Source organism: Homo sapiens, chromosome 12 (assembly GCF_000001405.40).
Source record: "Homo sapiens chromosome 12, GRCh38.p14 Primary Assembly".
Taxonomy (NCBI): domain Eukaryota; kingdom Metazoa; phylum Chordata; class Mammalia; order Primates; family Hominidae; genus Homo; species Homo sapiens.
Window position 1 is genome coordinate 51,507,124 of NC_000012.12, and position 13,751 is coordinate 51,520,874.

General features: G+C 45.3%; 1 protein-coding gene across 7 annotated transcripts in view, besides 1 other annotated feature; it reads left to right on the forward strand.

The window, feature by feature from the left end:
* SLC4A8 (solute carrier family 4 member 8) overlaps nucleotides 1-8,640 on the forward strand; it is a 124,318-nt gene extending 115,678 nt beyond the window's left edge. For all 7 annotated transcript variants that reach the window (NM_001405270.1, XM_011539011.2, NM_001258401.3 and 4 more), the window contains one exon: nucleotides 303-8,640. In NM_001405270.1, coding sequence (NP_001392199.1) covers nucleotides 303-315 — 13 coding nt within the window. In that variant the 3' untranslated portion in view covers nucleotides 316-8,640. The remainder of the gene's footprint in view (nucleotides 1-302) is intronic.
* Nucleotides 12,851-12,980: an enhancer, noted in NCBI's record as "active region_6383". NCBI's record gives its function as "activates an Ori minimal core promoter by ATAC-STARR-seq in GM12878 lymphoblastoid cells {active_cell/tissue: GM12878}" and the evidence as "EXISTENCE:reporter gene assay evidence [ECO:0000049][PMID:35858748]".

Sequence of the window (13,751 nt, forward strand, 5' to 3'; positions counted from 1 at the left end):
GCTCTGAAAAGTCACAGCCACCAGTGGGTGGTAGTGGTGATTTATGTCTTCATCGAATGGGTTAAAATGAATCTCTGCTGAATGTGAGTGAAATATAGAATCTTGTTTCCTTCGGAGGAAAATCCAGGCAGCTGTCGAAATGTATAACGCACATGGTTATTTTTAGTTGAGAACTAGTCTACTTGTAAATGAACTTAAAATATAGCCAGATCCAAATTGTGGTGACATCTTCAAAGTATTGTGTTAAAAGGAGGAATGAATCATATGTTCCCTTTTTGTCTAATTGTAACACTTTTATTCAGTCTCTTCAACTAAGAGTCTTTGCTGGGATGGAAGATTTGGGCCGTGTGGTGCCTCAGGGAAGTTCTGGTTACAGAGAAAATGGCGAGTCTCTCAGAGAAGAAGCAAGACCAAGTCTGGCCCTGTCCTTGGTCATCTCAAAGCCATGCCGAAGCATTCAGTTATTCTTGGTGTGCATTGGAAGGCATCCAGCTATCCCCATACCAGCAGCCAGTCACCAGATGTGAATGTGGAAGCAGAAGACCACCTCCTGTTGGTTCTTCTCCTCTTCCTTCTTTTTCTCTTTAGAACGGCCACCATTGAAGACCTAGCTTCCCATTTTCCAGACGTTTTCTCTGAAATTCTCTGCTGGCCTGCCAAGCCATATGGATTCATTCTGCCACTGAGGAGTCCTTCAGTGAGGTCCCTCTTCCTAAAGGACAGAGTGGGGAGTAGGAGGGGAACAGAGAGGACATCCTCTCTGGCTCTCCAGTGCTCTTAGTGTCTACAGGCTCCTAGGCAGCCCTGGGCCTTGGTTTGATTACCTCCCCTGGGGGATGCTGGTCAGACCCAGAGGTTGTCAGGAGGTCAGCTACCAGGAAGATCCATGATCTGGGCATTGGCAGTGCCTGCCACCACAGCCAGGAAGATGCCTCTGACCTGGGTGCATCTCCATCACTCCTTAGCAGCAGCCTGCATAACTGGCAAGAATCTTGGATGATACAAGAGCCAAGAAGGGACATTTGAGTTGTGTCGCTTAGATAGGAAAGGGATCCAGGGAAAATCAACAGTAAGTGAGGATGAGCAGTGTCTCTTGGTTTTCATTGAGGATAGAGTAAGAGATTGAGTTTAGATTGCAACAGAAGGAATTAGTTTAGATACCAGGAAGAACTTCCTAGCCTGAAGATTTGTCATAGTGTCTGCTTTCTAGATATCTGGGAAAGATTTGATAATAGTTGTTTGTGAATAGAAAGGAGGATATGATGTTTTTATTGGCCATTTTGCGGGACTCTTCGACTTCTTGCTGCTGTCTCTTGAGGATACATTCCAATTCCATCCTGGCGAGATCCAAGTGCTTACGTACTGTCTCCTTAGCTGCCTTAGAGTAAACGATCATCAGTTCAATGGACCAAAATCACCTTCAGCCATGTGGTTTCTTCATCATCATGGATTTCTTTTGGTTGACAAACATTCTGGCTCTCAGATGCAAAAAGTCACACTGGGAAATGAACTGTAAGTGGTGAAATTAGTTTTGGTATTTAATTTAAAACTACATTTATAGTTTTTCTCTTCTCTTCTATGTTGCAATGAATGTAAAGTATTTGGGATCCAGTGCTTATAAACCTTTCCTTCCTTTGTGCACAGAATGTAACTAGCAAGCCCATTAGCACCCAGATAATTCTATCATGTTAGTTTCCCATCCTGGAAAATCTTTGTACAGTGGGAAGTTCCCCGATGTGTTTTTCTTTCTTAGGTGAAGGGTTGGCTATATCACTTTATTGAATTTTGCATTCCTTAGACTTTTAAAATATACTAATGTATTCTAGTCTTACTCTAAAGACCTTTGATGTTAAAGGAATCCTTCATTTATTTCATATTCCCTATCTCATAGGGCCACAATTATTTTAATACAGAGATGATTTTCAAAATATTTTAACAACTGGTACAGGACAGATGCCAGCCACTCAGAAGGGATGCCTGCTGTAAACAAGCAGTATGTATGGTTGTACCAATGCCTATTGGCTGAACATTATGCTACTTTCAGATATTAAAATGGTGTTCCTTTGAATCGTGGGTATTGTTCCTGGTTTGTCTCATTTCTATCACAAGGCTGTTTTGGGCACAGCCTTAGCTTCCTTTCATATATATATGGTGCAGACAGGATAGGTCATGCTTCTTGGAACCTATATGGGCATTAAAATCTTCATGAGCCAAAGCTTCACATTTTAGCACTTTAGGATAACTGTAGTAATTGTACTCATTTACCTACCTAATTGGGAAGAATTAAAAGGCAGCCCATCTGGAGGATAAGCTTTCTTGCAGACTTTTCCCTTGTCCCTCTCTGGCTGCCTCCTTGAGCTTGCCACTTTTTCATCTTCATTGTTCCCTGAGAACATCTCCCCTTTCTTGCTCTATCTTGCCCCTCCCATCTTTTCCTGCCACCTCTGTGTGGGGAGGTTGATGACCATTTCACCTCTTTCCCTAGCCTCAGCACAGCTGTAAGGAGTGTATCAAAACTGGGTGAGAGTATCACTCAGAAAAATGCCTCCCCTAACACACGGATGTCTTGTGCTGCCTTGACCGCTTGAGGGGAGGAGCCTTCATTAACTCTGTGTAGTGCAGGTACAGGACCACCTGTGCACTTTAGGGTACTTCTCGAGCTAGACCCTCCTGGATCACTGCGCCTTAGGAATGTTAGCTACTTTTTAAAAAAAATATGATTTGGTGCGTTGTTGGGGTGAACTCCATGGGGAAGATTGTGAGTGAAGATGGGAAGGAATTTGGGTGGTTTTGCCACGAGGTGATGGTTGGGGTTGGGCGAATGGGTTGGATGATCCTGGCTCTGTGGGTGTGGTGCTCGGTTGCCTCCGTACAGTTGCAGTTCACCTTTGTGCATGGTGATTACCAGTCACTCTAGGGATTGTAGGTCCCAACAGCGGTTCCAGCAGCCTGCACAGCTGGTACGAGGACAGCTGGAGGAGGGTCTGATATCCCTGCAAGTGATGCAGGATAAAACTTCCCGGCCGGGCGCAATGGCTCGCGCCTGTAATCCCAGCACTTTGGGAGGCCAAGATGGGCGGATCACGAGGTCAGGAGATCGAGACCATCCTGGCTAACGTGGTGAAACCCCGTCTCTACTAAAAATACAAAAAAATTAGCTGGGCATGGTGGCGGGCGCCTGTAGTCCCAGCTATTCAGGAGGCTGAGGCAGAATGGCGTGAACGCGGGAGGCAGAGCTTGCAGTGAGCCGAGATCATGCCACTGCACTCCAGCCTGGGTGACAGAGCAAGACTCCATTTCAAAAAAAAAAAAAAAAAAAAACTTCCCAATAGGAGGTATTCCTTGATGGCTCTCGAATGCATGAATGATATATCAATTTGAAGTTTCTCGACCTTTCCATCAAGGATCTTGAATTTTTTCTCAATTATGCTTGCTAATGTGTCAAAGGCCAAGTACACTGTATCAAACTTGCCGTCTGTAAGATGCAAGATCAATCTAGTGTTTCAGCCAGTTCACTACTGACATCAGACTCAACTTTGTCCCCTCTCTTTCTTTTCATGCAAGAGACTTTAAGGGTAACCTCTTCAGTTGAAACTGTCTTGGAAGTGCAGCCCTCCTCCTGTGTGGCTAGAGAAAGAGATGGCACCAGGATCTCTTAACGGCAAGTGCTCACGGGGCATGGGTGATTTTGTCTAGTCTGGTCCTTTTGGACGTGGTGATTTCCTGTCATCCTCGTGGTCTGACATTGCTTCTCACTGGATACTGGTTGTGGCCTTTGACTCATTAGCTGATTGTTGGATCTCTTTGTGAGGTTCGATTTTTTAAAAATCCATGGGTCCCTATGGACTGTCACCTGTTGCAGATGATGGTGATTCTCTTCTTTTTTTTGTCTCCAATAGTTGCCTGGACGACTTCATGGGTCAGTCCACATGATTGCAGGATTTCCCATTGTTCATCTGTGAATGTTGATTGGCCAACCTGTCTGAGCTTTCAGCAGATGCATCCTTGAGCTTACTTTCAGGAATTCCTCCTGGAATTGGTTTTCCTTGGTGGTAATTTCTCATGGTGGAGCTTGTTTCTGAGGCATGGTACAGTGCTGCGGAGGCAAGGCAAGGCTGTCATGGTGATTTTCACAGCATCTGGATGGCAAATTGCCTTCACGTAGGGAAACCACATGGGACTGATAGCTTTCTCAAGGGATCTCCAAGCATCTCTGAATTTGGGGATTTCATCAGTTACTCCTGGAATCAAAATGAGTGTGGAGTCATAATATATATTTTTTTTGAGACAAAGTCTCACTCTGTCGCCCAGGCTGGAGTGCAGTGGTGCGATCTCATCTCACTGCAACCTCTGCCTCCTGGGTTCAAGTGATTCTCCTGCCTCAGCCTCCCAAGTAGCTAGGATTACAGGTGCGCACCACCATGCCCAGCTAATTTTTGTATTTTAGTAGAGACGAAGTTTCACTATGTTGGCCAGGCTGGTCTGAAACTCCTGGCCTCAGGTGATCCACCCACCTCAGCCTCCCAAAGTGCTGGGATTACAGGTATGAGCCACTGCCCCTGGCCTCAAAATCTTTAAGGAAGTTATTTATCGTCACAAGTGTTGTCATCTGTGACTCATGGGCCACTTGATGAACCTGAACCATTAGTGGTTGTCCAGATCCTCCAACTTTTTCAGGCAGTATTCCAATCAGGGTTTTACGACACCAGGGTATCCCACCTTTTTTGCAACATAGGCAGAAACACCAAGCTGTGGGTAATTGATGTGCGTGTCACTGATTCCTGCAACAGCTTTGAATGTATTAAATCTGTTTTCAACAGCCCTTGCATAGGTGTTATCTCTCAAATCTCTGTAAAGAGCACTAAGAGTATGTAGTGTTGCATGATATAATCCAAGCCTGTGGGCTGTGTCATCCGGGATTGTTGGAATTTTGCATGTGTCTGTTCCATATCCCGCTGGTAACCAGCTTACAGACCTTCTGTCAGGTTGGCTTACATTATCATCAACAGGTTGCCGTAGTGATGATATGATGCTGGACACAATCATTGTGCACTTTGTTAATTTGGTATGGTGGTGCCACACATTATCACTGTACAGCATTAACAAGGCTGGAATATGGCCCTCTGCTGTAGGGGGCGTGGCACCTGTGACTTGCACTGGAATAAGTAGGAGGCTTTCCCCAAAGGATATGGAGACTGATGTGTGCTCCATATCTTGAGGGGAGCTCTCTTGGTTTCCTTTGGCCGGGTCTGTTAGTTACTTTTGAAGGCCATGCCAACCCTTTTAGGCCATTAAATTTTTCTCAAACAATAGCCAGCCTCATTTCTGCTTCATCTCTGTGGTAGGAACCATTCCCTACTCTTACTCCCTCCTCTTGTCCAACTTCCACCAAACACTCAATCCGAGTCCTGGCTGCTTTCTTGCTTAGGTCTGTGGCTGGTCACTGTGGTGAAAGAGTCAAGGTGGGCAGTGTTTGGGGTAGGAAATGAGTAGTGGTGAAGCAGCAGCAGTGTGTGTGTGGGTGTGGGTGTGTGTGCATGCGTGTGCATTTGCATGTGTGTATGTTGACAAATGAGAGTGTAGCCATAAGATTTCATTGTTACTACTAGTCTTTGTGTACCTATCTGGAGGGACATTAAAAAAATATGGCCATTCTCCCATCTAGGGGGTTCCCATCTCAGACTTCTCTGATAAGAGTAATTTGAGAACAAATACAGATTCATCTATGGGAAAAGATGTTTAAACTCAGCATGAAGGAGAAACAAATTTAGGAGTGGAAAGCAAGGCAGGTAGTTAGGTGATTTCCATGACCACATTTGCTTGGGCCAGGGAAGTGGTGCACCTCTTTTATAACAATGGGAGATTTCAGAAACAGTTTGAGTGTTGGCAGACCAATGCCCTGATAAGCTTGTGGTATAGAGGTAGGAAGGGAGGGAGGCCAGAGATTAGATAAAATGATGGTGGGTGGGATCTTAGCTCTAAATGAAAAGAACTGGACTTACTAAGTGGGTGGATTACTTGCTAGCCATAACTTTTAGGGAAGGGTAGGTCTGGAGAGAAGGTGAAGACCAGCAGAAATATACTGTGAAATTGCCAAATATGTTTGGTTGCAGAAAACACAGCCTGGCTCTTTGTGGCTAGATGTGACTTCCAACTTCTGAAGACAGGATTGCCAAGAGATGTGATCTTTCCACATACAGCTCCTGTCCCCATCTCTTTATGTGTAGAGACCTGGATTTGGGGTAGTGGGGTAGTAAACCATATATTTCCAAAAGATGGTGTGAAGAGTCGTTTCTCTTCGTCTGGGATGTGATTGGCTTTTGTTTTTTGTTTTTTGTTTTTGAGACGGAGTCTCGCTCTGTCGCTTTGTCACCAGGCTGGAGTGCAATGGCACAATCTCAGCTCACTGCAACCTCCGCCTCCTGGCTTCAAGTGATTCTCCTGCCTCAGCCTCCTGAGTAGCTGGGACTATAGGCGCGCACCACCATGCCCAGCTAATTTTTGTATTTTTAGTAGAGATGGGATTTCACCATGTTGGCCAGGATGGTCTTGATCTCTTGACCTCATGATCCACCCGCCTTGGCCTCCCAAAGTGCTGGGATTACAGGCTTGAGCTACTGCGCCCGGCCAGTGATTGGCTTTTAAATTAATCACAAATGTTTGATAAAATTCTGGTATGTGCTAAGTCCCAGGCTTGGTTGATATCTCAGACTATGATAGCTGTGACCTTCAAGAAATTTCTGGCTTGGGGAATCTGTAGTTTCTGGTTGTCCAAAAAAGATAGTTCTTAGTCCTACTTTATTTTCTACCCACTCAACTCTCCAGACTTCCCTCTTAGTAAAGGAATTCATAATTCTCCCTGCATCTTCTCTGTTTATTTCAATGTCCATGTTCTGAGTCTCAAGTTTTCCTGAAGCACAGGAGCAGGCTTGGCCCCAGAGCCCCTGGCTTTTTCAACGAGCATCAGAAATGCTATCAATATATTCTCTCTGTTGCTTTATCAGCTTCTCTAAATTTATTTTGTAAGGAAGTTAGCACCTCCTTCCAGGACTTTAAACAGTTGTCTTTGCCAATTTGTTCCTGGATTTTCCTTGAACTTCTCAGGTTTCCAAGCCACATCCTAGCAGGGCATCCAGGAGCCTTGCACTGAACCTCTCAGCTCTTTTGACTTTCTTCTGGTCATAGGTGTTGGGCCTCCCATTAGGTAGAAGTCCTTTGAGCAGACCCGAAATGGCCAAATGAGACATCATCCAAGTTCCTCCCTCCTTTACTGTCTCGGCTTTTTCAAGCACCCCTTTCACCTCTCTTTTCTGCCTTTTCCTCAGTCTGTCAAGTTCTTTGGAGGAAAGAAGTTCTTGGTCAGAGGTCCTAAAACCACCACCAGCTGGGGGTGCTGAGAATGGTGAGGAGTTGGACAGTCCCGGGGCTTTTTTGAAAGGGGACTTTATGGTCATTTCCCCTGTTTAGGGTGAGGGACTAAGAATTCTCAAGCCTTCAGTTTCATCCATATTTCAATGTAAGCAGAAAAGCACATCTCAAAGCCAAATAGAAATGATTTTCTACTAAGCCTATCCTTTGTGATTCTTGGTTCCCTTGGTCTCTTAATATTAATTATAGAGAATGGGCAGTTGAGTCAGTTAACATCTTTTCATCAGAAAGGAGGGTAATATTCATAACCAAAAGAGATGTAAAGGAAGTATATTACTGCTTGAAGTGTGAAAAGAGGAAAGGAGTGTTATGTGAACCTTTTCAGTAGGGAAATTCAGAAAATGGAATGATTCATCCATAGGCATAATTCTTTTAGGAGATTCTGTGCTCAAAGGGAAGGGAATGGTTTCTGATCCTTCTGAAGAGAAAAGGAATAGCATTTTTCTTAAACCTAACCCAGTTTCAGCATTGGAGAATACAGAACTTTTTCTTCTAGCTGATGGCATTAATATTTCTTGAGAGAGAGAACTCACCCATGGCACTTTTCTGAGCCCAGCAGAAATCAGCGGAGCTTGGGCTTCGCTTAGCAGGTTTGCAATTGACTTCAACATGCAGGCTTTTCACATGTGCAATAATGCTGGAAACAGAAGCACCAAACTGATTGTGCAATTACTCCTTTTGTAGAAGAGGCCAAAATCCTCCTCCTCCTTCCTTTCTCCTATATTCACTCCTCCAGGATCATAAAGCCTCCCTCTTGTTTATCTGTGTCTGTCTGTCTGATTGGTTAGATTTGGCTGCCCTTCCAAGCTAATGGTGTCAGGTGGAGAACAGAGCAACCTTCCCTCGGAAGGAGACAATTCGAGGTGCTGGTACATTTCCCTTGTTTTCTATGTTCTTCTTTCTAGTGGGTCTCATGTAGAGATAGAGATATTTTTTTGTTTTAGAGATTCCAAAGTATATATTTTTAGTGTAAGAAATGTACCCTCTCCACACTCCATGATGTAAATAGAACCAGGAATAAATGTGTCATTGTGATAATCCCATAGCAATTTATGGTAAGAACAAGACCCCTTTCCCTCACCACCGAGTCTCGTGGTCTGTGTCTGTGAACCAGGGCAGGTAATTGTGACACTGCATCTCATAGAACTCTGCCTGCCCAGATTTTTGTGTGCTCACCTCAATGGGTGAAAAATAAAGTCTGTGTAAACTGTTTGTACCTGTGGTGTTCTTTGAGTCCAAATGAAGGGGCTGAGCCAATGCTGACCAATTTCAGAGCGTGTGAATGAGAGTGTGAAGATGGGGGAAAAAGGTGTGGTGACTGCTGAGAATGCCTAGGAGGGATGTGTGCATCTCCCTGGTGCAGAGCATGAAGGAGGCTGTCAGGACCTCTCTCATGGGATGGCTAAGCTTATGTTGGCGGAACAGGACAGCCTGAAAAGAAAGCTCATTCTGAAGATACAACAGGCTGATGAGAGTACCTGTTAATATTTAGGGACTCTGCTGCCTAGAAATTCAGATTTTAAAAATCTGTGGTCACGCCAGAGTTGGCTTTTTTGGGTGGGGGAGGCATGTTGTGTTTCTCTTCCTCTGATATCCCATTGTTGGAGACTTAGAGAAGAGGGGGAGAGGGAAGCAATGGAGGGAGAGTAGAGCGGCCAGTGAGGGGGTGAAAGGAAAGGGTGAGGGATCCCAGCAGCAGCTTTACTGAGTGCCAAGGAAGGCACCCACTGAGAACGTCCTGAACATGTGGCACCATGTGGACATTTATTACACAGCCAGTGCCAGCACAGCCTGTGGCCTACAGACAGAGAGCTCACTAGTTCTGAGGCCTTTTGCTATCTTTTGGCTATTCTTTACCCCAACAGTACACACATCATACCCTTTGTCTCACAGAGAGACACGCTTAGATTGCATTGAGTAGAGTATGGGAAGGCTGCTCCTGCAGGAAACAGAGCCAGTTCTGATGCCTTGGACTGTGGAGGGGCTAGGGTACAAGTGCAGAGAGATGACATGTATCATTTTCACACTCAGGGTTGTTAAGGATTCCATTAATTGATATGAGAAAAGTGCTTACAACAGCACCTGGCTCATGGTAAGCACATAGTAAGCAATAAAAAATTTGGAGGTAGGTGATTCCTGGGTTGGTTAATTCAGCAATAATCCTATTAGGGCTCTGGTCAGCTTCTCTGCAGTTCTCTTGGGTTTTCCCCTCACAGTCACAAGATGGCTCCTGAAGCTCCAGGTGTCACATCTGCAGCATAACTTCCAAATGCAGGTAGGGTGAGAGGGTTTTCTAGCTTCCCCCATTCTCTCTCTAAAAAGGGGAAAATCTTTCCCAAAAGGCCACCTTCCTCCTATGTCATTGGTTATAACTGAATCACATACTCATCTCTAAGATGGGAAAAGGGAGATGGGATTATCATGTTTGGTTTGAACCCATTAGACGCATCCTGTGGGGTTGGGCCCATCTTCCGTAACCATTTTGCTGCTCTAATACTTGTACAAAATCAGGGTTCTGTTAGCAAAGGATAGGCAGGAGTTGCGAGTGATTACATGTCCCAAAGTGACTGCCAGTGGACCCAGGAAAACCTGCACCACGGGGCCTCTGCAGAGCTGGAGCCGCAGTGTAGAGGGCCATGAACCTCAGCAGCAGGGATGCCAGGAGGCCAAGAAACTCCTCTGAAGGTCAGTGGGGAGATTTCTAACGCATCAGTACCTGAGTCCCACTCTACACCAATTACATAGACTCTCTGGAGAGGAGCCAGGTGCCAATATCTGTGAAACCCTCTCCAGATGATTCTTTGCAGGCAGGGTTGAACGTCAGCTGCCATAATGCTTTTCCTCTGCCATGACCAGGCTTTTCTGTGTCTGCTTCACTTCCAGCTCTCCACTCTGTAATACTCAGCTCTGCTACAATGTCAGTTTCTCCTGCCTAGATTATCACAGCCTTAACCACCTCCAGATTCTTTCCGCTTCAACCCCCACTCTTCACAGCTTCATTGCCTCTGTATTTCCAAAATCAGATTCCCAAGACTGAGAATGCAATTGTTCGTCATTTCTCAGCAGGCCACACTGTAGGTCCCTGGCCAGCCTATGGGTTAGGGGCCTTTGGGTCTGAAGCCACCTTTGGGCCAACCAAGGAAGAGTGAGAGTGAAGTGATAAAGAATATGGCAGGTGAAGGGTGTTCCTTGTCAGGGTTGCAACGTCGTTTCCCCTAGAAGAAAACAAGGGCCAGAGAGACATAGTAATGATGTGTCTAGTTATCTTAGTGACGTCCAAAGGCTGTTTCCCGGTTACAGACCTGGCTACAGAATTACCCCTTTTACCTTTTGCTTGTGTTTAATTATAAGGACAAACAGGCACATACTTAGAAGAACAGCCTGCAAGTCACTGCGTTGCTCCCTCGACAGAGCACACTTACCATGGTCGCACTTGCTTGTGATGTCAGTGCTCACGGATAGAGGGAAGCATAGAGCTTCCCTGTCCAGAGGCTGAGGGCATGATTGAGGCCTTTAGCAAGAGACAGTGTATAATATATAACAAGCCAATCAGGAACAAACCTGCCTGAGTTCAAGTCCTAGCTCTGCCCCCATAGCTGTATGCCCTTGGGCTACTGGCTTCATCTGTGCCTCAGTTTTTTCACCTGCAAAATGGGAGTGATAGTACTACCTACTTTATAGGGTCAATAAGGAAGAGTCAGTGAATTCACAAGCATGCTAAGGCAGGCTCCCCTCCATGTGCCCTCTGAGCCTCCTCTGGTAGCAGCAGGTCTTCCCTCCTCTTGCCCTTCTGATGCTTGGATTTGCAGCTGTGTGGTGGAGTTGACCCCTAGAGTCCAGGGGAAAGGAGTCGTGGTCACTGTGACCTTTGTCTGTGTGGTTTATAGGTATTAACTCATAGGAAGAGAGACTTTGCTTGGGCTCCTAGTCTACACCACGTTCTCCAGCACAACTTCTACCTTTCATTTGGAGTTAGGGAATGTTTGCCTAGTTGTAAGATCATCAGTACTTTATTTGGCCATTGATCTTTAGTGTATATGGAGGGACTGGAGGGTGGGAGTGGAAATAGTGCTATGGTCAATACCCCTAAAGGGTAGTGACCATTTGTCTATTATTATTACCATAGTCCCCAAAGCCCCTCCACGCTCTCAGAAATTACACAATGCATTATCATCACCAGATTTCCCTAATAGCCACAGTAGGCAAGGAGGAAATGCCTTGGCCTTCACTACCCAGGCTAAACAGTAGTAAAACAGTTTTCTAGTAACTTTCAGCTGTGGGATTCCAGCACTAGTTTTGAGTCATAGGGGACTCCATGTCTAGTTTTAACAGTTTCATCATCACAGTCATCGTCATCAAAGGCCTGCTTTGGGCATTTCATAACCTACCACGCAGGGTTGAAGCACTTCACTGAGAGAATCACTGGCAGTAGTGGACAGCACCTGGTGTGTGTGTGTGTGTGTGTGTGTGTGTGTGTGTGATAAGCATGTCACAAATACATTCTCTGATCTAATCCTCACCACACACACAATGGGCACTATTCCTTCTACAGATGAGGAAACTGAAGCTCAAAAAGGTAAATAAGTTACTGAAGTTCACATAACTGGTAAGTGGCAGAGCCCAGGGTGAAGTCATGTTTGTCTGGAATCTGTGCTCTCGGCTTCCCCTCTCTACTGACTCCATTAAGGGGTCTGACTATGGGATCGTGACTATGAGGGCTGCTTCTAAAACACATACCTGATATGTAAATTAAAGGACATACTGAAAAATAAAACAGTAGAGAAATGTGAAATTAGAGAACATACTATTACATCACTTGTAAATAGCAAGAGAAGTTGAGAAAGTGAATAAAAATTCAAATTCTTCTTCTGGAACAATTCAACAAATTCACATTCTAGAATTTGTTCCAGAAAGTATTCATAGGATATGGCAGATATGCAACTTTTTTTTTTTAATGAATGAGCAAAGAAAGTCGTCCCTGCTCCTGAGCAATCCTGGAAAAGTTTTCCCAGGAAGAACATAGGACTCATTAAGATGTGAAGAACTCAAGCACTGATCAAATATTTTGGTAATTTAAATAAATAATTGCCACATCATAATTTATTGCATCAATTTCCCTACCTTGTGTTCAGGGGAGCCATGGTTTCAGTCTACCTGACAGTGGTCAGACCCCACAGAAAGCACTATGGTATGTTCAGAGGCTGCTGGAAAAACAGAGAAACCCAAAGCTTGTCCTGAGGAGGACCTGTTGAAGGAAATGGCGAAGAGACTCAGGGAGTACTGGCAGCTGGGTTTATCTCATCATTGTCCTCAAAATTCATGCTTGAGGACATGAGTTTTGAAGGGCATGGAGGTGAAATGAGTTCTCTGAGGATCTACAACTGGACTCACATAAAAAACGAGACTATATATGCAAAGCACAGTGGTGAGGCCTGTGGGTTTTGTAGCATCAGGGAGGGGACTCTTTCAGAGACAGGGAGGCCTTCAAAGAGAAGACAGGGTTGGAGAAGGAAAAGAAGTTATAGATTGGGTCCCACAGGCAGGATGACCATGAATTGACTGGTTTGCTTGCAATTAAGGGTTTTGTAAAAGGAAGCAAGTGTGCTTAAAATAGGAGACCCAGGAAAGAAGACCTTAAATGCCAGGTTATGAGGTGGGGACTATCCTGTAAGCTCTAAGGCACCATCAGATGGGAGATGTGTGCTCATTGGCATTTTAGAAAAATTCATCTTGTAGCAGTGAGGGAGAAGAATTGGAAAAGGGAAAAACTGGATGTAGCTAGGCCACGGCAGGGCAATGGTGATGGAGAGGAAGAGGGAAGATAAGGAGACAAATGAAGAAACAACAGACTTGGAACCCATGAGTGACTGGCCGTGGAGGAAGCACAGGTGCAGTAAAACAGCACCCTGATGTCATGCGTCTGAGAGAAAAGCTGTCATGTGAAATAAAGATTAAGCTCATTTGACAGAGCTCTAGAGGATGTAACCAAGACCAACTTATCTTCTGGGAGGCAGATTTGGGCTCAGTGTGAGGAACTCACAGCTAATGCTGTCCAAGAATGGAATTGGCTGCCCTGGTACCAGCAAGTTCCCAGGGTTGAGGATGCCAGGAAGCTGCAGGTGTGGGAGGATGGACTTGAGGGCCCGTGACTTCAAGACAGGGACAGAGAGGGCGCTGCAGACAGACACCGCCTGGGAGCAGGATGAGAGATGGGAGGGTGGTGAAGAAGGAGTGGGTGGGGAACAGATGTCTGCGTTAGGAGGAGGGAGCAGACGGGTGCGGGGAAGAAAGCCTGGGTGGGATGAGGCTGTCTGCAGCTGAGG